Here is a 22,434-nt window from a genome sequence, read left to right on the forward strand (position 1 = left end):
CATATCGAGGTCTGGACAGAACATCTTAAGTCAAAACTTGAGCCTCCTTTAATAAGCCTGTTCTTAAGTTTACTGGCTGGGTGCAGTGACTCACACCTGTAATCCCAGCACTTTGGGAGGCCAAGGCAGGCAGATCACCTGAGGTCAGAAGTTTGAGACCAGCCTGGCCAACATGGTGAAACCTTGTCTCTACTAAAAATACAAAAAAAAAAAATTAGCTGGGCATGGTGGCGCACGTCTGTAATCCCAGCTACTCTGGAGGCTGAGGCAGGAGAATTGCTTGAGCCCAGGAGACGGAGGTTGCAGTGAGCCAAGATCATGCCACTGTACTCCAGCTTGGCCGACAGAGTGAGACTCTGTCTCAAAAAAAAAAAAAAAAAATTGAAAAAAAGAAGTTTCCTTTTGGGTTTTTTGTGCCACCAGTAGGGCTAGTTGTAAACAGTCCAGTATCTTGAACACTGGTGAGATTTCATCCCATAAATCCTTTTTAAAGATTCATTTCCTAGAATATCTGAGAGGAAATTTGCTGAAAAAATGTCTTGTGTGCTCTTAGAAACTACCAATTTTCAGAACCCCAGACAGTCAAAAGTTCTATCTCAACCTGGCAGAACTGCTAATGAAAGTCCATCCAGGGACTAATTGATTGTCATTTTGGTGGACATTGTGAGATCTGTGGGTCCAGTGGGTGAGGTATGTGACTATTATATTGCAAAGCCACTAATATTCATTGATGAATGAGGAATGCTCCTGACATCTACTTCTTACTATTTTAAGATACTGCAGACCGTGAGGATTCCAAGCCAAAGGCAAGCTATTGGTATTGAGGTAAAGTTTTCCTTTTAGTTTAAATGTTAATTCATTCATGCATGTAATGATAAGAAGTCTATGAATCATTCTTACCCTTTTACGTTTCCATAATTATCAAATTTAATGTATTTTTATTTGAAGGGTTTTCTGATCAGTGTTGAAATAGAGATGAAACTTTTAATAAAAGGAACCAAAATATTTTGTGTTTCAGAGTTGGAAAAAGATGTTACATGGCAACCATCCAAATGGAAAATTCTTGATTTTAACTCAATTTAATTAGATTACTTGAGTCAACCTGAAATGAGAGTTAATTATTTTCTTTTCTCTCTAATTCTCCCTCTCTTTTAAAAGAAACATTAAAGATTTCTGTTTTAAATTCAAGTTTGGGGACAGTAAGTGGGAATTTGGAGTTCTTCCATCTGACTCATCTGGATTCATATAATACTTTTTTATCTTTTCCTCTAAATGAAAAACAGAAATATCTGTTATATCTTTTGGTGTGAGTTAGCACTATTAATATGTTAATGTCTGCATAATACTCTTCACTTCATAGCTAATAGTTTTTATTACCAAGTTTTCTTTCTTTTTCTTTGGAAGGTTGAACTAAATGAAATAGAATCCCGGTGTGAAGAATACCCATTGACTCGGGCCTTTTGCCAGCTTATTAGTACTCTGGTGGAGAGCTCATTTCCTTCTAATTTGGGTGCTGGACTGCGGCCCCCTGGCTTTGACCCTTATTTGCAGTTCCTTAGAGACTCTGTGTTTCTACGATTCCGTACAAGAGCTTACCGGAGAGCAGCTGAAAAGGTTATGTTCAGAGAAAAGCTTTTTTCTCCTTATGCATTTACTGCTTTTTCTTTTATCAAAAGTATATGGTGCTAAATTCATGTTAGCTTTTGAAAGGTAGTAAAATTCACAGTCTTTGTTTTGAAATATCTATGAAGTGGTCTGATTAGTTTATGTGCACTAAAAAATAAGTTTGGTCATTAAAACCCAAGCACTGACATTAGTCATCAGTAATCTAATTGATAGGAGTTCATATTTCATATCCTTAGTTTAACAAGTTTTGACTAAAATGGAACAAAAAGTGTCACATTTGTTGGAAACACACTACTACTGCTTATTGGAATGGTTTAGGTTAGGGATTGAAATAAGTTTAAACTTGCACAGCAGTTTCTATTGATTAGTGGCACTGGGTTGTGGAGTACTGGTTTAGCGGGAAGGAGTATTGTAATCCATTAGGCATGTCTGCCATGGATGGAGGCTGAGAGAGCACTGATCTTTATGACACATTTGCTCTGGTTGCAAGACACTAACCACTGAGCTTATATATATCATTTTATATAATTCCAATATTACCACGTGGCAGGTACTATTTAATATTCCCATTTTACAGATGGAGGCTTAGCAAGGTTAAGGAACTTGCCTAAGGTCCAGGACCAGGATTTGAACCTAGGACTCTGATTCCAGATCCAAGCTCATAGCCACTAAGCTATGTAAGAGACTCTTCCAGGTTCTGATGTAATTCACGTTAGTCTATAATACTGTTTATTAACCTTACAGAATACCCTTGGTTGTATCTTGTAGGAATGTTTCTGCTTTATTTTGGTAGTTGGCGCAGATCAAGACTCCATCTGAAAAAAACAAGTGTATATATATATGAAGAAATTATATCATCCTTAATTTTGTTGCCAAAGGAAGGATAACTACTTTTAGTCTTTTTCCTATGCCTGTAGACTTAATTAACAATTGAGATAATTAGTTATATTACTTTGTATTTCTTTTTTGTCACTTAGCATCATGGGGATTTTTTTCATGTCCTAAGATATTCTTTGAAAATAGTCTTTTTAGTGACTGCATAAAATCTGTTACTTGTATCTAGCATAGTTTATTCACTGCCCTGTCATTGGATATAGCTTGTTTTTTATATTTAGTCACAAATAATTGAAGTTCTTTTTTTTTGTCAATTGCATTAGAATTTTTGCTTGCCAGGTTGTAAAAATAAACACTGAGGTGGGGTATACACTTTACTTAGGCTCTAGAACTTAACATGTATTTCCTGATGGGAAGAAAACAATAACAGCAACCATGCCTCATTAATAAAGTCATTTCAGATGAATAATGAGTGCTGATAATTACAGCACTCATTTCATCAAAATGTTCTGATACTTTTTTACAGTTGTTTTAAATGTCTTATATGCTTTTTCTTAAAAAGGTCATTGTGATCTGAGTGTTTAGAGCATTAGTTAGCCATATTCTCTCCAGATGCTATCACTTTTCACCCATGCAGAGCCACACTTCAAGTGTTGCTGCTTTTCCCTGGCTGCCATTGATTTCAGTTCCACCCCAACTTACTCTAAAAAACTTTCCCTCAATTTTGTGAATTTATTTTACTTGAAAGTGTTCTTGAGATCTAATTTATATGACTATTTTAGGACACTAGCTGCTCACACAAACAGTGCTTTGGATTGAGATAAATAACAGCGTGTTAGAGGCAATTGGTATGTTTACCAGTCCTAAATCCATTATTATGTGGTAATATGCCTTTTTTATTTAAATAAAATTTTTTGAAAATTTTGGAAAATGCAAAACAGTGAATAATATAAAAATAATTTAAAAGTCACTTTATAGTCCCATTTTCTAACTCAACCTTGATACAATTATGTGCAGTGGAAATAATAATTTTAAAATAGTAATTCATAAAACCACCCTGTCTGCAATGACCAAACCCAGTCTTATTAAAATTCTATGTAGTGGATTTTTTAAACAAAGTTTTAATTTTACTGGCTATGCAGTTGTATATAATTTTTTTGGCATAAGTATTTTTCTTTACTGGTACATAGCTTTTAAATACATTTTGAATAAGAAGGCGATAATGGGAATATTTGGGGCAAGCCTACCAGTGATTGTGTCTTCTTAACCTTCTTTGACTATAGTCACGGATGGAACCCTGGTCTGAGAATGAGAAGGCCTGGGCTTGACTTTCAGCCTGTTTGCTGCCAGGCTTTATGATCTTGGGGAATTCATTCACTGCTCTGAGCTTCACTTGCTTCACTTATAAGGAATTTAGATGAGATGATTTCTCAGATTCTTTGCAGGCAGGCTTGTTAGAGAAAATGTGAAATGTTTGGCACTTGAAAAGTGTCCAAATTTGATGTTTAATTATAAATTGAATATGACTAGATACTAAATGTTTTCAATGTATTAATGAATTCCAAACATCTATAAAAATGTATCTTTAAGAATAATGCATTGAAAATATTTTACCTTGAAAATGAGCCAATTCATTATCTTTTAGCAAAATAAAGCAAAATGAATTGGGATTTCTATATTGCTTAGCGTAAGTGAATAAAGTGGACAAGAAACTTCACTCATTTTCTGGAAAAAGAAGTGGGAAGAGTGAAAAGCCTTGCAAGGCCACCACCTTGGTCTGTTTTATTGTTATTGACCTATTTATATCTTTCTATAGTGGGAAGTTGCTGAGGTGGTTTTGGAGGTGTTTTATAAATTGCTCAGAGATTATGAGCCTCAGCTTGAAGATTTTGTAGACCAGTTTGTGGAACTACAAGGTAATTTAATTCTGTCACTTTCAAACAAGTTGTCAACTATTTATAATTTATAAATTATGGCTATGTTATATATAAATTAAAAATTATACTTTTAAATTAGAATTTAATCTTTTGTTTCATTGTTTTAATCATTTTAATTTTTCTGTTCAAGAGAAAAAATTATTGAATGGAAGATCAAGAACACTGCATTACAATTTCTCTAATGAGTTAATAGAATAGCTGACTAACTGCTTTGTGCAGATTTGCCCTTAGGAGAATTACTGCTGTGTCTCTAAATTGAAACTTGCCTTTATCTATCTAGATGCCATCTAATTTACAAGTCTCATACATTTCATATAAATCAAGGGTGTGACAAAAATACTAACCCATCATCTCTTGGAATATGTTATGTTCTATTTAGGAGAAGAAATCATAGCCTATAAGCCACCTGGATTTAGTCTGATGTATCATCTGCTGAATGAGTCACCAATGTTGGAGCTTGCTCTCAGTTTACTGGAAGAAGGAGTTAAGCAGCTTGACACCTATGCCCCCTTTCCTGGTATATGCTTAAAAGCCTTCATGTCTTGCAAACAGCTTTGATGTTTTCATCTTTTGTAAACTGAGAATTTGAAATAGATGATCTCTGAAGTCATTTTTCACTGTAAGATTCTCTCTCTGTATCTGAAGTGGTGTTTTCAGTGAATCATTTAAATGAGAGTATTGTAAGTAAAAACAGACTAAAGTACAGAGAGAATCTCACTGTCACTGTGTTTCACTGCAGGGTCTTTTGTAGGTAAAGTGATCTTTCTATCATTTTAACATCTTTAACATCCCTAACTTTAAAGTACTTTTTTGTCCATCCCCCACCTCATAATATTTTTAAAAGGACTTACTATAGTGCTTGATACATAGTGGTCAATAAATTTTACTTGTTATTATTACCACTAATTATTATTTATTGAATGCTTACTATGTATTTGGCTCTTTTAAAAGCACATTGCATATATTAATGCATTCAATCTATTCAAAAATGTGTTAGATCTTCTTATTTCCATTTAACAAATAAAGAAGCTGAAATACAACGAAGTTATACTGGCTTTCCCTATCAAGTGTGGGAGCTGGGATTTGAACCTAGTCATCTTGGCTCCAGAGCTCATGCTTTTTACCACGATGCTATATTACCTCTACTTAATGTGGCTGTGATCAAAATGAGAAAAGAGATTCTAAACATATGAACAATAACTGTATAGTCAGAATATACAGATAAGACACTATAGGAAGAATTAGGCCACAATTTTAAATTTGATTGGTAAGATTATAGGTGATCCTTGTTTCTATTTTCTGCGTTATTTTCCACAGTGATTTGGTCTTACTTTAGATCAGAGTTTCTCAATTTTGGCACCATTGACAGTTTGAGCTGAATAATTCTTTGTTGTGGATGATGTCCTGTGTATTGTAAGCTGGATGCCAGTAGCACATTTCCAGTTAGGACAACTAGAAGTGTCTCCAGACATTGTCAAATGTGCCCTGGGGCTCAGCCACCCCATTCTGAGAACTGTTGCTCTAAACAATAAGGGAAAAGATAAAGAAGTGATTTGAGAATCCATTCCATGGGAGTTTTCTGGATTGCAAAATAACGATGACTTGCATAGATGAATGGTTTTGTGAAGTTGGAGCTGAAATTTTGAAACAATGAGAGCATAAATCTCTAGGTTTTGCTGCTGAAAGTTGGAAACAAGAGTCTGAATCTCTAGATCTGAAAATCTAAAACTTGTCATTTGTCTTGTTTTCCTAAGAATTGACTGTGAGTTTTTAAGATAAATTTAGAACTTTCTAACTTTATTTTTGGTTGATAGGGAAAAAACACCTGGAGAAAGCAGTACAGCATTGCCTTGCACTTCTCAATCTTACTCTGCAAAAGGAAAATCTTTTTATGGACCTTCTAAGAGAGAGTCAACTGGCTCTAATAGTCTGTCCTTTAGAACAGCTTTTGCAGGGAATTAATCCCAGAACTAAGAAGGCAGATAATGTGGTAAACATTGCCAGGTAAGTTACCTTTGTAGGTAGAGAAATGAAGTAAACAGATAGACATTCTAGCTTTGATTTTCAAATCTGGTTAGGTATCTAGTGCATCACCTTTTTTTTTATTTTTGCCTCATTTTACTTTTTTTTTTTTTTTTTTTTTGAGATGGAGTCTCGCTCTGTCGTCCAGGCTAGAGTGCAGTGGTATGATCTCAGCTCACTGCAAGCTCTGCCTCCTGGATTCAAGCGATTCTCCTGCCTCAGCCTCCTGAGTAGCTGGGATTACAGGTGAGTGCCACCATGCTCAGCTATTTTTGTGTTTTTGGTAGAGACGGGGTTTCACCATGTTGGTGAGGCTGGTCTTGAACTCCTGACCTCATGATCTGCCCGCCTCAGCCTCCCAAAGTGCTGGGATTATAGGCGTGAACCACCGCGCCCAGCCTTATTTTACTGTTGCCTTCTTTAGCTACCCTGATTTTAATTACTCTGAACTTTACAATTTCTTCTCTTCCATGTTCTAAGAATCTAAGTCTACTTTTTTTTTTTTTTGTCTTTTTGAGACAACATTTCGCTCTGTCACCCAGACTGGAGTGCGGTGGTACAATCTTGGCTCACTGCAACCTTCGCCTCCCAGGCTCAGGCGATTCTCCCACCTCAGCCTCCCCAGTAGCTGGGACTATAGATGTGCACCACCACACCCAGCTAATTTTTGTATTTTTAGTAGAGATGGGCTTTCACCATATTGGCCAGGCTGGTCTCAAACTCCTGACCTCAAGCAGTCCGCCCAGCTCAGCCTCCCAAAGTGCTGGGATTACAGGTGTGAGCCGCTGTGCCCACCCGAAATCTCTAAGTCTAAAATGACAATATTGTCTGTCTCCTGTAGGGAAACTAGGTGTTTGGAGGATAGGGCTGGAAAGGAAGCAGACTTTTCACAGAAAACTTGAGCTTTCTGGTGGTTTGATGTTCCGTGGCATATAGAAGCATCACCCTGATCTCTGCTTTCAGCGTCACATGGCAGTTTCCCTGTGTGTGTGTTTGTGTCTGAATTTACCCTTTTTATGAGGACACCAGTCATATTTTATTAGGGCCTCCTTAATGACCTCGTCTGAACTCGATTGACTATATGTACAAAGACCCTACTTTCAGATAAGGTCACTGGGTTAGCCAGACTTCACATAAGGATTTTGGGGGCAGGGATATGATTCAACCCCTAACAGACTGCATCTATTTAGAAGGGGACAGCTTTTTCTTATTTACCTTGAAGTGCTGTATGGGCAGGGGAAGCCCTGGTTCTAAATTTTCTTTATTGAGAATAGTGAGACACCAAAAATTTTATCACTGTTCCTCAAATGTTTTCTTTTCTTTAAAGATACCTATATCATGGCAATACTAATCCAGAATTGGCTTTTGAAAGTGCCAAGATCCTCTGTTGTATCTCTTGCAACTCTAATATTCAGATAAAGTTGGTTGGAGATTTCACACATGACCAGGTAACTGATTTTGTTGCTCTTGTTATTTTTTGGTGCATTTTGCATTTTGACTATATATGGAAGTTCTAGTGTCTATGGAGGAATCATATTCTTGGTTGTGGAAAAATTCATTAAGAGTAAGTATATTTGTATAGGATGGGTGAAAACCTACCCACGAACTTGGCTATGACTTATCTTTGAAGATAATGCTATTCACAGTGATACTGCATAATTATGGTATGTGGCACACTGCTACTCTGGGTACATGACCACTGCTACTCTCAGCACGTTCAAAATGATTAGGTTTGCTGTTAACTTGTTTGTTTACTGCTCCCGACCTGTCAGTTGCCTGTGTTCTAAGTGAGCCCTCTGCAAGTTCTGAATATTTCGTTGTTGTAAGTTGTCTACTTCACTGGTTTTCTTGTGATCCACCTGTGTGTCACTTCATTTGATGACACTGTAGAGTGTTTTTAGGAGTTCCTCTTTTTATTCAAGTTATAATAGTTCTGTTCACTGAATACCTACAATTGCGGAATCTGCTTTTTTTTTTCTTTATGAACATTTCATCCCATTGTATCTTTATGTTGGAAATCACTGCTTTAGCTAGTTGAAGAATTTTTTTTTTTCTTCTTTTGAGACAGGAACTCGCTCTATCACCCAGGCTGGGGTGCAGTGGCACAATCTCAGCTCACTGCAGCCTCTGCCCCTGGGCTCAAGCGATCCTACAGGTGCATGCCACCACGCCCAGCTAGTTTTTTTGTATTATTGGGTTTTACCATGTTACCCAGGCTGGTCTCGAATTCTAGAGCTCAAGCAGTGTGCCCATCTCGGCCTCCCAAAGTGCTAGGATTACAGGCCTGAGCCACCGTGCCTGGCCTCGTTGAAGGATTTTATTGTGTAGTCCTTCATAGAGTCCCTATTTTGAAATAAGGATTCTTCTGGCATGTTGGATGGCACAGATCTTATTTTGTGTGTTATAGTCCCTCACATCTAGTACCTTTAGCATCCCTAGATACCACTATCTGTCAGTAGTAACTTCTAGATGTGATTACTTAGATGACTCCACTTATTTCTAAGTTCCCTTTGGAGTGGTGGTACCACCCAGCATGAGAACCACCATAAGAGGTGTAAGTCTCATCTGTGGCTTATGGATGAGGTTTATGAAACCTTGTGATAATCAGGGGATGCTGAAGGTTTTTGATGTGCTGATTTTTGGGTTGATTTTGGTATAAATTGTTATTACTGATTTAACATCCTCCTAGATTATTAAAGGCAAAATCAGCTCAGAAATAGAAAATGGGTGATAAGTAATACATTTCTAAAGAGAGAAGATGAAAATTTTATTTTATGTTTTAGTTAAGATCTCGTAACATTGACTATATAATGAAGAGGTCAGTAAACAGCAATTTCGTGATTTTTTTTTTTTTTTTAACTAGCTTGATGCTTTGGGAAGGAAAATTAGGAAGCAAGTTTTGAAATCAATGAATTTATAAAACTTTTGTTTCTTTAATTATGTGTATAGAGAGCTAACTTACGGCAACTTAAGGAACTGAGTTTTCTATTAAAAATGTAACTAAAACGTAAATACCTAAGCAGGTTTGCCTATTTTTCCTTATGGATGAATATTTACATATATCAATCATAGTTTTTCTAATATTTAGAAACCTGTAATAATTTGTCATTTTTTACCTTCATGTTACTTCAGAGTATAAGTCAGAAACTAATGGCTGGATTTGTGGAGTGTTTGGATTGTGAAGATGCAGAAGAATTTGTACGTCTGGAAGAGGGTATGCCTTAGATTAATGTGCATACACGCATTCTTTTACTTTTTATATATGCTTAATTTAAAGAAAACACTTGTAATTGTTAACTGTTTTAGTGATGGTGTAAGAGGAATTGAGAATTTGCTAGAATACAGGTTGAGAATGCAAAATCCAAAATAAAATCTGAAACCTTTTGACCACCACCAACATGACTCTCAAAGGAAATGCTCATTGGTTCATTTTGGATTTTGGATTTTTGGATTTTTGGATTATACATCAACCTGTATAATGCAAATATTCTAAAATTCAAAAAAATCTGAAATCTGAAGCACTTCTAGTCCCACACATTTCAGATAAAGAGTACTCAACTTGTAAATTTATAAGGTTTTTAGGATTCCACTTTAAATAAATCTGAAATGAATGTGATAGATAATCAGGCAAACGATCTAAAGAAAACATGGAGTTGGAATACAAGTTTTGTATTTTTTATTTGACTTACGTTAACTTTCCACTGTTTTGTAATTTTGTTTTGTGATTTCTGCATTAAGGATCAGAACTTGAAAAGAAATTAGTTGCAATTCGTCATGAAACAAGAATCCACATCTTGAATCTTCTCATTACCTCTCTGGAATGCAATCCACCCAATCTTGCTCTCTACCTGTTGGGCTTTGAATTGAAAAAACCTGTCAGTACTACAAACCTACAAGATCCAGGTATAGCCTAAGACATAAAGGCATTTCTTTCCTTCCATATTTGTGTATCTCAGGGGTCACTGATTGCATTCTGGGCTCATGGGATAATTCATTGAAAGAAAAAGTGTAAGAAAGGTAATGTGATGGATGGGTCAGTTCTTTAGGGCTTAGAACAAGACTGGACAAACTGAGCTATAGAGAATCAGCCTTTATCAATTTTCTGTTATCAGTATTTGAAAGAGTGTTTACAGTACAGCATATATTTAAAGAATTTAACTTTTGAAAAGGCAGTCTAAGATTTTAATGCAGCAATTCTAAAAGAAAAGTTGAATTTCTTTTTGGTTTCATGCAGGAGTGTTAGGTTGCCCTCGGACATGCCTTCACGCCATTCTAAACATCTTGGAGAAAGGAACGGAAGGGAGAACAGGCCCAGTGGCGGTGCGAGAATCTCCTCAGCTGGCTGAGCTATGTTACCAGGTACACAGAAAACTGCGTTTTGTGGTACTGAATAGAAGAAACTTGACCAGGTGCATGAGTACGCCACAGATATGACAGTATAACAGCAGGACTTAGTTGAAATGAGTTCATTTAGCAATTTGACCTGTCTTTCATTTGTGGATAAAATCCGTAAAGCACAAACCCCAAGTTCTTATAGACCCAAATCTTATGTTAATCACTTGAAAAATAGAGGAAATTAGATTTTTGTGATGGATTTTTACCAGTAGTGTAGAAACTTTCCAACAGTGCTGTGTTTAAAGTAGCTCCTTCTGATGGGTCAGAAGACCTCTGGTTCCCATCTCTGCCCCATGACAGGTGAAGTCACCTTGGGCATGGCATGAAACGTCTCTGACTCTGAGTTTTTCAAACTGTGAAATGGACTGTTGAGAGACTTCAATGAGAATGTAAGTGAAAGCACTTTTTTTTTTTAAGAAGGGGTCTCACTGTCACCCAGGCTGGAGTGCAGTGGTGTGATCACAGCTCATTGCAGCCTCAACCTCCCCTGGATCAGATGATCCTCCACCTCAGCCTCCCAAGTAGCTGGGACTATATGTGTGTCCCACCATGCATGACTAATTTTTGTAGTTTTAGTAGAGATGGTGTTTTGCCACATTGCCCAGGCTGGGAAAGCACTTTTTTTTTTTTTTTTTTTAATATGGAGTCTCGCTCTGTTGCCCAGGCTGGAGTGCAGTGGCGTGATTGTGGCACACTGCAACCTCCACCTCCCAGGCTCAAGCGATTCTCCTGCCTCAGCCTCCCAAGTAGCTGGGACTACAGGCGTGCCCACCATGCCCAGCTAATTTTTGTATTTTTAGTAGAGACAGGGTTTCATCATGTTGGCCAGGATGGTCTCAATCTCTTGACTTTGTGATCCACCTGCCTCGGTCTCCCAAAGTGCTGGGATTATAGGCATGAGCCACCGCGCCTGGCCAGAAAGCACTTTTTAATAACCAAATAAATTAAGAAGTCCTGTATACAACTATGTTAAGTGGTAGAATGTCAGATTAACATTTAAACTATAATGAGGGCTGGGCCTGGGCATGGTGGCTCACGCCCATAACCCCAGCACTTTGGGAGGCTGAGGTGGTCTGGATCACTTGAGGCCAGGAGTTGGAGACCAGCCGGGGAAACATGGCAAAACCTTGTCTCTGCTGAAAATACAAAAATTAGCTGGGCGTGGTGGCACGTGCCTGTAATCCCAGCTACTTGGGAGGCTGGGGCATGAGAATTGCTTGAACCCAGGAGGTAGAGGTTGCAGTGAGCCAAGATCATGCCACTGCACTCCAGCTGGGTGGCAAAGTGAGACTCTGTCTCAAAAAAAATAAAAATAAATACATAAGTAAACTATAATGATAATTTATAATTTCGCTTGTTCACTTTTGTTTATTGTTTTATTCATTTTATAAGTGTTTTAAAAACTAGGCTTGGCCGCGTGCAGTGACTCACGCCTTTAATCCCAGCACTTTGGGAGGCTAAGGTGAGCAGATCACCTGAGGTTAGGAGTTAGAGACCAGCCTGGCCAACATGGTGGAACCCCATCTCTACTAAAAATACAAAAAAAATTAGCTGGGCCTGGTTGTGGACGCCTGTAATCCTAGCTCCTCAGGAGGCTGAGGCAGGAGAATTGCTTCTACCCGGGAGGCAGAGGTTGCAGTGAACCTAGATCGTGCCACTGTACTCCAGCCTGGGCAACAAGAGCAAAACTCCGTCTCAAAAAAAAAAAAAAAAAAAAGAACCAGGCTTTATAAGCTGTGACTAATTTCTCAATTTAAGTGTTACCCTAAATTTACATTTTTAGGATAAGAAATGGTGGGTCATGAGATCAGGAGATCAAGACCATCCTGGTGAACATGGTGAAACCCCATCTCTACTAAAAATACAAAAATTCATCCTGACTAACACAATGAAACCCCATCTCTACTAAAAATACAAAAAATTAGCCGGGCATGGTGGCTGGCACCTGTGGTCCCAGCTACTCGGGAGGCTGAGGCAGGAGAATGGCGTGAACCCGGGAGGTGGAGCTTGCAGTGAGCCGAGATCGCGCCACTGCACTCCAGCCTAGGCGACAGAGCGAAACTCTGTCCCAGAAAAAAAAAAATACAAAAATTATCCGGGCATGGTGGTGTGTGCCTGTAGTCCCAGCTACTTGGGAAGCTGAGGCAGGAGAATGGCGTGAACTTGGGAGGCGGAGCTTGCAGTGAGCCGAGATCGCACCACTGCACTCCAGCCTGGGCAACAGAGCGAGACCCCATCTCAAAAAAAAAAAAAGAAATGCATCACTAACCTCTTAGTGTTACTGGCATGGATATTTTTCTTTGTTAATCTCCTGCTTTTCTTTTTGTAATTCTTTACTATCTTTTCTGTCCTCCGGCTGTCCAAACATCCCTTCACTGTAAGTACTATAGCTAGGTTTTCCTGTAAATCAAAATTAATTCTTCCTTATGGGGGAACAAATTTGATGTACATATTAGCACAGATTTACAGAATTTGATATATAAGTAGAAACAACTGATAAGCTTAACACCTAGGCTAATGGCAGGTGAAGTAAATGAATGAAGCCAGGGTCCAGTTAAGGGAGTGGGAGGAAAGGAGAATCTGGCAGACTGGAGAGCATGTGCCTTCCTACTCATCCCTGGCTTATTTTACCATGCCAGAGTGCAGGATTTGTTGGGCCAGATTGTCTGAATTTTTATTTTTATTTATTCATTTTTAAAAGAATTTGGAAATCTGAATTTTTGTTAAAGTTGTTCTAACTTTTAGAACACTCTACTAGCCAAGGAAAACATGTCCATACCAGCAGTTTACCAGTTTATAACATACTCTCTGTTGTCGTTGTTACTGTTTTTTGAGATGGAGTCTCACTCTATTGCCCAGGTGGAGTGCAGTGGCACGATCTCAGCTCACCGCAACCTCCACCTCCCGGGTTCAAGCGATTCTCCTGCCTCAGCCTCCCAAGTAGCAGGGATTACAGGCATGTGCCATCACACCCGGCTAATTTTGTATTTTTAGTAGAGAGGGGGCTTCACCATGTTGTCCAGGCTGGTCTCAAACTCCTGACCTTAGGTGATCCACCCGCCTTGGCCTCCCAAAGTGCTGAGATTACAGGCGTGAGCCACCGTGCCCGGCCATAACATATGCTCTGTGACCTTGCTACTCAAATATGGCCCAGGGACCAGTATCATCAGCATTATCTCCTAGGAGCTTATTAGTGCAGAATCTGAGGCCCCACTTTAGACCTGATGAGTCAGGATCTGCATTTTTACAGAAAGCACTGCTCCATTTATAACTAAATATACTCCCTATACCTATATGTTTGTACTTCACCCTGCTTCAGAAAAAAATTTAAACCTCTAAGTAAGAAGAGCTTGTTAGTTTAAATAAATCTGATTGTAGCAAAGGGAAATGGTCCTTACTGATACCTTCCTTGTCCTGCAACACAAGGGCTTCTGGGTGAAGAAGTTGAGGCCTGGTGCCTTTGCCCTCTTTTCTTTAAGAACGGAGATTTCTTCTACCTGGTCCCTGGTCTTGGAAACCAGGAAGGATATAGCCCACATCTTAATAAAATGGCTTTCAGTGCTTTTTGAACTCACTTTTTGTGTCCTTCTCTTCTTTTTTTTTTTTTTTTGGGTGGGGGACAGAGTCTTGCTCTGTCGCCTTGCCTGGAGTGCAGTGGTGTGGTCTCGGCTCACTGCAACCTCCATCTCCCAGGTTCAAGCAATTCTCGTGCCTCAGTCTCCCAAGTAGCTGGGATTACAGGCGTCCCTGGGCCACCACGCCTGGATAATTTTTGTATTTTTAGTGGAGACGGGGTTTCACCATGTTGGCCAGGGTGGTCTCAAACTCCTGACCTCAGGTGATCCGTCCACCTTGGCCTCCCAAAGTGCTGGGATTACATGCGTGAGTCACTGCCTGGCAGTTCTCTTCTGATAGTATTATTTCTTCCACTTGTTAGAGTATCTTCTTGTGTTTTCTTAACTCCCCCAGTAATAGACCTAACTGATTTTGTTTTGAGAAGTTCGGTATTAGCTTAAGTTTTTGTTTGTTTATAGAATATCAAAATGGTATCAAAACTGTTTAAAAGGTCAATGTACATCTGTAGCAGAGCTTTTTACTCTTTTCCTTGTCTTCTTTCTCTTTGTGTATATACATTGTTTATAGTTGTATTCAGTATACATGAAATTTTGTGTCTTTTTTACTCCTCTCTGTATAAACTTTCTGTGCTGCAACAATGTAAATTACATTCAGGTTGTTTCCAGTTTTTTTTTTACTCTGCTGTAGCGAACAAAAAAACAAAAATTAGCCAGGCGTTATGCCATGTGCCTGTTAATCCCAGGTACTTGGGAGGCTGAGGCAGGAGAATCGCTTGAACCTGGGAGGTGGCAGTTGTAAATAAATAAATTACCTTTGGTTGTTTTGTATTTTTCTTAAGAATATATTTCCAGGCGGGCACTGTGGGTCACACCTGTAATCCCAGCACTTTGGGAGGCTGAGGCGGGTGGATCATGAGGTCAGGAGATCAAGACCATCCTGGCTAACACGGTGAAACCCCGTCTCTACTAAAAATACAAAAACAAAATATTAGCCGGGTATGGTGGTGGGCACCTGTAGTCCCAGCTACTCAGGAGGCTGAGGCGGGAGAATGGCATGAACCCGGGACGTGGAGCTTGCAGTGAGCCGAGATCGCGCCACTGCACTCCAGCCTGAGCGACAGAATGAAACTGCATCTCAAAAAAAACAGAAGAAAAAAAAACAGAATATATTTCCAGACAAGGGTTTATAGTCAGTTCTCGTTATTCACAGTAGTTGTGTTTTATAAAGTCATTGTGAAAACTGAATTGGTGAATTCATTGCCCCTATGGAAAATACAGGCTAGGATTCCTGCAAGTGTCTGGTTCCAACATTCTTGTCAACTGATGAATTCATAATCATGTTTTATGTGTGTTTCTGTTTAAAGACACCTTACTTAATGTAGTTGATTCATTAACATTAAACTCATAGCCAACAGCACTATAACTCAGCCTGAATGAAATTTATCTAATGTAGTATTTTATCTTAAAGGCATATCACAGCCTTTTTGCACTTAGGGACAAGGCAGCATTTCAGCACTATGCTTGGGGGCTGTTTTAAACAGCAAAATCAACAAAAAGCACAAAAATGCAAAAAACGTGGCACTAAATAGACCATTTAAAGAACCCTTTTTATAGTATGATAGCTGGAACAGGAAAAGCATTGCTCCATTAGAGAGCATGAGAGTTCGGTGACTGCAGTTTGTAGCTGTTCTCCCGCGCATGAAGGACCATGGAAGCACTGCAAGTATTGATTTTGGGATTTTAAATAAATTTTAGCATGTTAGGTGAATTTGCAAATATGGAATCTGTAAATAATGAGGATTGACTGTGTTGGGTCAAAGACTATCAAGAGTTTTGGCTTTAGATTTTAATTCACAAGTAGTCATAACAATTATACTAGGTATTAATAGTGCTCAGAATAAACATGTCTTAAAGTGCCTGGTACATGGAAAGCATCTAATAAATGTTCATATTAGCCACGCATGGTGGCATGCAATTACTGTAGTCCCAGCTACTCAGAAGGCTGAGCTGGGAGGATCACTTTAGCCCAGGAGGTTGAGGCTGCAGTGAGCTGTGATTGCACCACTGTACTCCAACCTGGGTGACAGAGTGAGACCCTGACTCAAAAAAAAAAAAAATTTGCTGATTTATAATATGATACCTACCTATTATCATCTTGATTTTTTTTTTTAATTCCTGAAAACAGATGGACATTTTTTATTATGGGCTATTTTTATTTTTCTCATATAAAATGTCTTTTACCATATGGGCTACTTTTACCATCTGGGGTACTTAGATCTTTATGTTATTCATATCTGTAATGGAGATCTTTATATATATTAGAGCTAGCAACTTTTTCTTATATTTAATATAAGAACTTTTTCTCTTATCTATTCTTTTTTGTTAAATTTTTATTCAGTTTATTGTTATTTAGTTGAATTTATGGATCTTCTTTGTAATTTCTGCATTTGCTTTAGTTTTGGTAATTTTAATCTTCCAGAGGTTGAGATGTAACTCTTATGGTTCTCAGAAGTTATTTCCAAGTAATTTGCTACTAATAATTTTTTTCTTTTCTTTTTTTTTCTTTTTTTTTTGAGACAGGGTCTTGCCCTGTCACCAGGCTGGAGTGCAGTGTCATGATCTTGGCTCACTGCAACCTCCACCTCCAGGGTTTAAGTGATTAATCTGCCTCAGCCTTCCGAGTAGTTGGGATTACAGGCACACGCTACCATGCCTGGCTAATTTTTGTATTTTTATAGAGACAGAGTTTCACCATGTTGAGCAGACTGGTCTCAAACTCCTGACCTCAAGTAATCTGCCCACCTCAGCCTCCCAAAGTGTTGGGAGGTGAGCCACCGTGCCCGGCCTGCTACTAATAATTAAGCTAAAATACTAAAATGTACTATATGTGTATAGTAAAATTAACTATATGTGTATATATTAATAAGTATATTAATAATAGTTGTGTAATAATGTCACCAGCACTCCATTGTATTTCAGTGTATTTTCTTGAGCTAGGTTGCCAAGGACTGTTCATAACTCTGAGCTTATGTTTTGTGCATCTGTTTGTCCATTTTACTTGAGTTGTTGATGGGTCCTAGTTTTTCACTTAGTAGGTCTAAGTTCATATTTTGTTACCATAATATGTGTAACACAGAAAGACTGATTCAGGGATTTTTCTTACTTTAATGCTTTAGGTCATATATCAGTTATGTGCATGCTCTGATACATCTGGTCCTACTATGAGGTACTTGAGAACCAGCCAGGATTTCTTATTTTCCCAGTTGCAGTATCTACCATTTTCTAACAAAGGTAGGCCATTATTTTCCCGTATTTATAAGAACACATTTATAATTCCATGTTAAGTGATTTTATTTATACAATATTTGGGGGAATTCTGTTCTCATTCTGATACTTTGGCTTCTTTGTTATTTTGGGTTCTTTTTGTAATTTCTGCTTAAAGAAGGCTGATATTTTAACTGCTAGCAAAAACTTATTTAAATATAGCCTATCAAGGATGGAATTTGATTCTCTTACAACAAATAAAATTTAAAGATTGTGTTGAAGGGATTAGAAAATTAATGGGAATTTAAAGTTTTTGAATGAAAATTGTTTTACGAAGATTTCTGATTTTCTCTTCCCAGGCTGTTTATGAGGAAAAAAAAAATCCTGGTTTATTTTTGTTTCTTGTGTTTGTATTGAAACCAATTCAGATCTTGAAATGAAAAGTTGAAAACTAATTATGGTAGAAAACAGTTTTAACTTAGTTTATTGACATGGCTAACAATTATTCCAGGCTAATGCAGTCTTATCGAGATTCTACTTTATTTTCTTTTTGACCAACTTTTAACAGTTTTCTGAATTCAGACTATATTCAGACAGTCTTAGTCTGTTGAGTTTTTTAAAAGTTTAGCTTGTGTCATCTTTATGTTTTAGGAAGTTGAGGCTCACACATGCCATAAACAAATTTCTATTACTAGTAATTGTCAGCATCTAATTTACCTTTTAGAGTAATGGCGTTAGACCTCTGAGAATTATCTAATGGCAAAAGGTTTTTCACTCTATTTTCATAAGTGTCTTATTTTTAGTTCTGGGATTTTGTTTAAGAAGCTTTTAGAAACCCTCTTTACACCTAATTAAAAATAAAAATTAACATCTTACCTATTATGGTATGTGTTTTATAAAACTTCATTTAGCTTTGCCTGAAATTATTATTAGTATTGTTATATGGTTAATTTTATGTTTATACTGTCACAGTTTAGGGTTTCAATGTCAAGCATATTAAAATAGTATTGGATTAAAAAAATCTTATTGTAGGACCAGGCACAGTGGCTCGCGCCTATAATCCCAGTGCTTAGGTAGGCTGAGACAGGAGGAACACTGAGGCAAGGAGTTCAAGTACAGCCTGGGCAATAGAGTGAGACCCTGTCTCTACAATAAAAAATAAATAAATAAAAATAAAAACTATTGTATAAGTGATTCTCAGCCTTAATTAAATGTTAAACCACATCATTAATTGAGGTATTATAAAATCATGCAATTTAAGTTTAATTTTTCTTATGTATTTGTTTTGTGAAATCAAAACCAAACTATGATAGTTTTTTGAGTTATGTATTTGAAAATTACTTTAAAATATTGTTTTATATATCAGTGTCAAAATACGATAGATTCAGGATCTTTGTGAAATTAAAATCAGTAATGAAAACTTGATTCTCTTTTACTCTTCATTTACTTTAGCCCATCTTTCGTAAATTTATACTAGCTTATTTTTTTCTTTCTTGGTATCTTTTTTTTCCTCTTGTAATTTTACAGAGTGAGAAATTATTATGTTGCTGAGTTTCATAAATTATTGACTTTGTTACATGGGAAAATATCTGTTGAGTTACAGAATTTAAGTCTGTTTTGATACTGTGTTATTACTCTGGGAAACAAAATTTACATGTTTAAATTCTAGAATATGAAATATCTATGCTGAACCAGATGTCATGGCTTATGAAAACTGCCTCAATAGAGCTAAGGGTAACCTCTCTGAATCGTCAGCGGTCACATACCCAGAGGCTCCTACACCTCTTACTGGATGACATGCCAGTGAAACCATACTCAGGTGAGTATTAGTATTTGTTTTATTGTGCTGGTGACTAGTTGTCGTGAAGACAAGCACAAATCTGAAGCTTGTGCTTAGTATGTGACTATAGACCAAAACTATCTTCTCACTTTTAGAATTTTTTTTTCTTAAAACACAAAAATTTTAACTCATCTTATGATTGTCATTTATTATTATTTTAAGCATCCATATTACACTATAATCATACCGGTATTATATACAAAATTGTCAGTGGAGTTTGTCATACTGAGCCAGCATGACCTAAGCTATTTCAGTATGTATTATTCATGCAAATTAAGCATAAACTTTTAAAATCATCTCATTGGCATGATTGGGTCTTGCCATTTTTGAGAATCTGATTATTCTCTTTACAATTGTGCAGTGGATTCCATAGGGACAGAAATAATTAGATTAATGTTGGTAGTAAATCCTCATCAATCTTTACATTTTAATTATCCATTTGCACAGGGCTCTTTGATGTAGAAACAATGACCTAGAAATAAGATACCTTGTGTTTGTTATTTCCAAATAAATAGTTTTAAGAGTATGTTCTTCTTTTTCTGATTCAATATTATTGATATTCCAACAGATGGTGAAGGAGGAATAGAAGATGAAAACAGGTCTGTTTCTGGGTTCCTTCACTTTGACACTGCTACAAAAGGTAATGCCCTTTGAATTTGTAATAAATTTATTTTATAGACATATATTAAAAAAAAAAAAACTTCAAGGGATTATTATGCCTGTGCCTCCAAACTCTGAACTGGTATAGAAAAGTTATATAAAGGATTAATTGCCACCTGAAAATTTTTTTTATAATAGGATTATACAAAAGGAAAGAAAATATTTTTGTTAATGGATGTATCAGAAATAAAATCAAATTTAGATTCCAATACAGTTTTCAGTTTCTTGACTATTTTATGCTCTTTCTGAAAATAGCACTGTCTTTGAAAATCAACTGAATATGATGGCTTGCCTTTCTTTTCAATGTCCCAAGTAAAATCAAATTACTTTTTATTATTTCTAGTACGTCGAAAAATTCTAAATATTCTTGACTCGATTGACTTCAGTCAGGAGATCCCTGAGCCTTTGCAGTTGGATTTTTTTGATCGGGCCCAGATTGAACAAGTTATTGCTAACTGTGAACACAAGAATTTACGGGGACAGACAGTCTGCAATGTCAAGGTGAGGATTGCTTTAAAGTACATATCTGCAGTGTCAAGTGGCTCAGACTTTAAGTCATCAGAAACAAATAGAACCATATAGGTTTTCTTTCTGATAGAGACATTGGTTTAGTAGTTTATAGGAAGGACTGTGATTTTTGTAAAATATCCCTGAAATAAAACTTAATATATCACCTAACTTCTTGAAAAGGGATACTTAATATTTTGGTCTGGAAATTGGACAGTGCTCCTGTTAGATTATATATAAAGGTATCTGACACCTTTCCCTTTAGGGCAGTTTATGGTAATTGCTAGGTGTTACTGTTCTACCAGTGTCTGAAATGTCTTATTTTTCTTTCTTTTCCTAATTATCCAGCTTCTTCATAGGGTTCTTGTAGCTGAAGTAAATGCCCTTCAGGGTATGGCAGCCATAGGACAGAGACCTCTACTAATGGAGGTAAGCTCTATTGAGTATGTGTTCGTTTCAAACTTCTAACTACTTAGGTTGCTGGTGAAAAGACTAAAATAGTATATTGACATGTAGTTTGCTAATTAGTAAGCTGCCTAAAAATTAAACATTTAGGGAGTCTTTCACTTTTGATTTTATAACTTTTATAAACTGAACTATCTGGTATGCCAAAATAAATAACACCTTTTCTGCTAGGCTAGTTAAGGATTTGCAACCTGACCATATTTCGTATTAGACTTCACTTGGTCCCCATCAGTGAGAGAGGAGGGTCATTTGTCATCACAAGTGGAAAGTTACAGATAAGAGGTCAGGTGGGAAGAACCACATGAATGGAGATACAGCCGGCCAGGCCAAAGCAAGAGGCAAAGAAATAAAAGAGATGTCAGAGAAACATGCCATTGAACTTGGAGTTTAGATAATTCTAGTGCTCTAGAGTAAGCAAGTATAAGTAGACAGGTACAAGGAGAAAGAAGATGGTGTCAAAAAATACATATTTATCTATGCCACTTCTGTCCCCTACCTTTCATGCACATACACACACATACACACCTTATATGTTAATATTTTTTATAGCCCTGGCTACTGAAATAATATGAAAAGATACCTGCTTCCTGGCATGCATGTAGTAGGTTTCCAAATAAATATTTTCTGAGTAACTGACAGATAACTGATCTTATTTGCCTGTTTAACCTTGTGATTCAATTCCTGTGGCTTTAGGAAATCAGCACTGTACTTCAGTATGTGGTAGGAAGAAATAAATTGCTGCAGTGTCTTCATGCAAAACGTCATGCTCTGGAGTCGTGGAGGCAACTAGTAGAAATTATACTGACAGCTTGTCCCCAGGACCTCATTCAGGCAGAGGATCGACAACTGATTATTCGTGATATTTTACAAGATGTGCATGATAAGGTGACGTACTTCCTAAAATACTTTATACTGCTGAACGAATGTATCATTTAAACAAATATATTTTGGCATCCTAATTGTTTTCCATTTTCGATTGGGAGTAAAATAGAATTGTGCAATACCAACGTTAAGACTTTCCTTGAGAAAGGGATTAATTCTGTACAGTAGTGGCTCTCAACCAGAGTGTGTGTCTGAGTTATCTCGGGAGCTTTGTAAAAATTCACATGGACAGAGCCCACCCCAGACCTACTGAATGTAGTGGTGAGACCATTTATGTGAATTTCAAAAAGAAAACCTCCCTAGGGAATTCTGATAGGAATCCCTTCTGGTTAAGAACACCCATTACCTAGCATCATGTTTAAATTTCTCTGTATATATTAGATTCCTTTCTTTCTTTCTTTCTTTCTTGACTAATTTCTGTATTCCA

At 37.2% G+C, this 22,434-nt stretch overlaps 1 protein-coding gene across 2 annotated transcripts in view, besides 1 other annotated feature; it reads left to right on the top strand.

Annotated features, from left to right (window-relative positions):
* NUP205 (nucleoporin 205) overlaps positions 1-22,434 on the top strand; it is a 90,837-nt gene that overhangs the window by 38,677 nt on the left and 29,726 nt on the right. For both annotated transcript variants that reach the window (NM_001329434.2, NM_015135.3), the window contains exons 14-28: positions 775-825; positions 1,405-1,614; positions 4,277-4,376; positions 4,777-4,914; positions 6,212-6,401; positions 7,747-7,867; positions 9,552-9,633; positions 10,158-10,322; positions 10,654-10,778; positions 17,566-17,680; positions 19,323-19,472; positions 20,062-20,133; positions 20,497-20,654; positions 21,009-21,089; positions 21,819-22,010. In NM_001329434.2, coding sequence (NP_001316363.2) covers positions 775-825; positions 1,405-1,614; positions 4,277-4,376; positions 4,777-4,914; positions 6,212-6,401; positions 7,747-7,867; positions 9,552-9,633; positions 10,158-10,322; positions 10,654-10,778; positions 17,566-17,680; positions 19,323-19,472; positions 20,062-20,133; positions 20,497-20,654; positions 21,009-21,089; positions 21,819-22,010 — 1,950 coding nt within the window. The remainder of the gene's footprint in view (positions 1-774; positions 826-1,404; positions 1,615-4,276; positions 4,377-4,776; positions 4,915-6,211; positions 6,402-7,746; positions 7,868-9,551; positions 9,634-10,157; positions 10,323-10,653; positions 10,779-17,565; positions 17,681-19,322; positions 19,473-20,061; positions 20,134-20,496; positions 20,655-21,008; positions 21,090-21,818; positions 22,011-22,434) is intronic.
* Positions 21,188-21,482: a silencer, noted in NCBI's record as "tiled region #5720; K562 Repressive DNase matched - State 15:Elon". NCBI's record gives its function as "represses a minimal TATA promoter and a strong SV40 promoter by Sharpr-MPRA in K562 cells {active_cell/tissue: K562}" and the evidence as "EXISTENCE:reporter gene assay evidence [ECO:0000049][PMID:27701403]".

Source organism: Homo sapiens, chromosome 7, assembly GCF_000001405.40.
Source record: "Homo sapiens chromosome 7, GRCh38.p14 Primary Assembly".
Classification (NCBI taxonomy): Eukaryota; Metazoa; Chordata; class Mammalia; order Primates; family Hominidae; genus Homo; species Homo sapiens.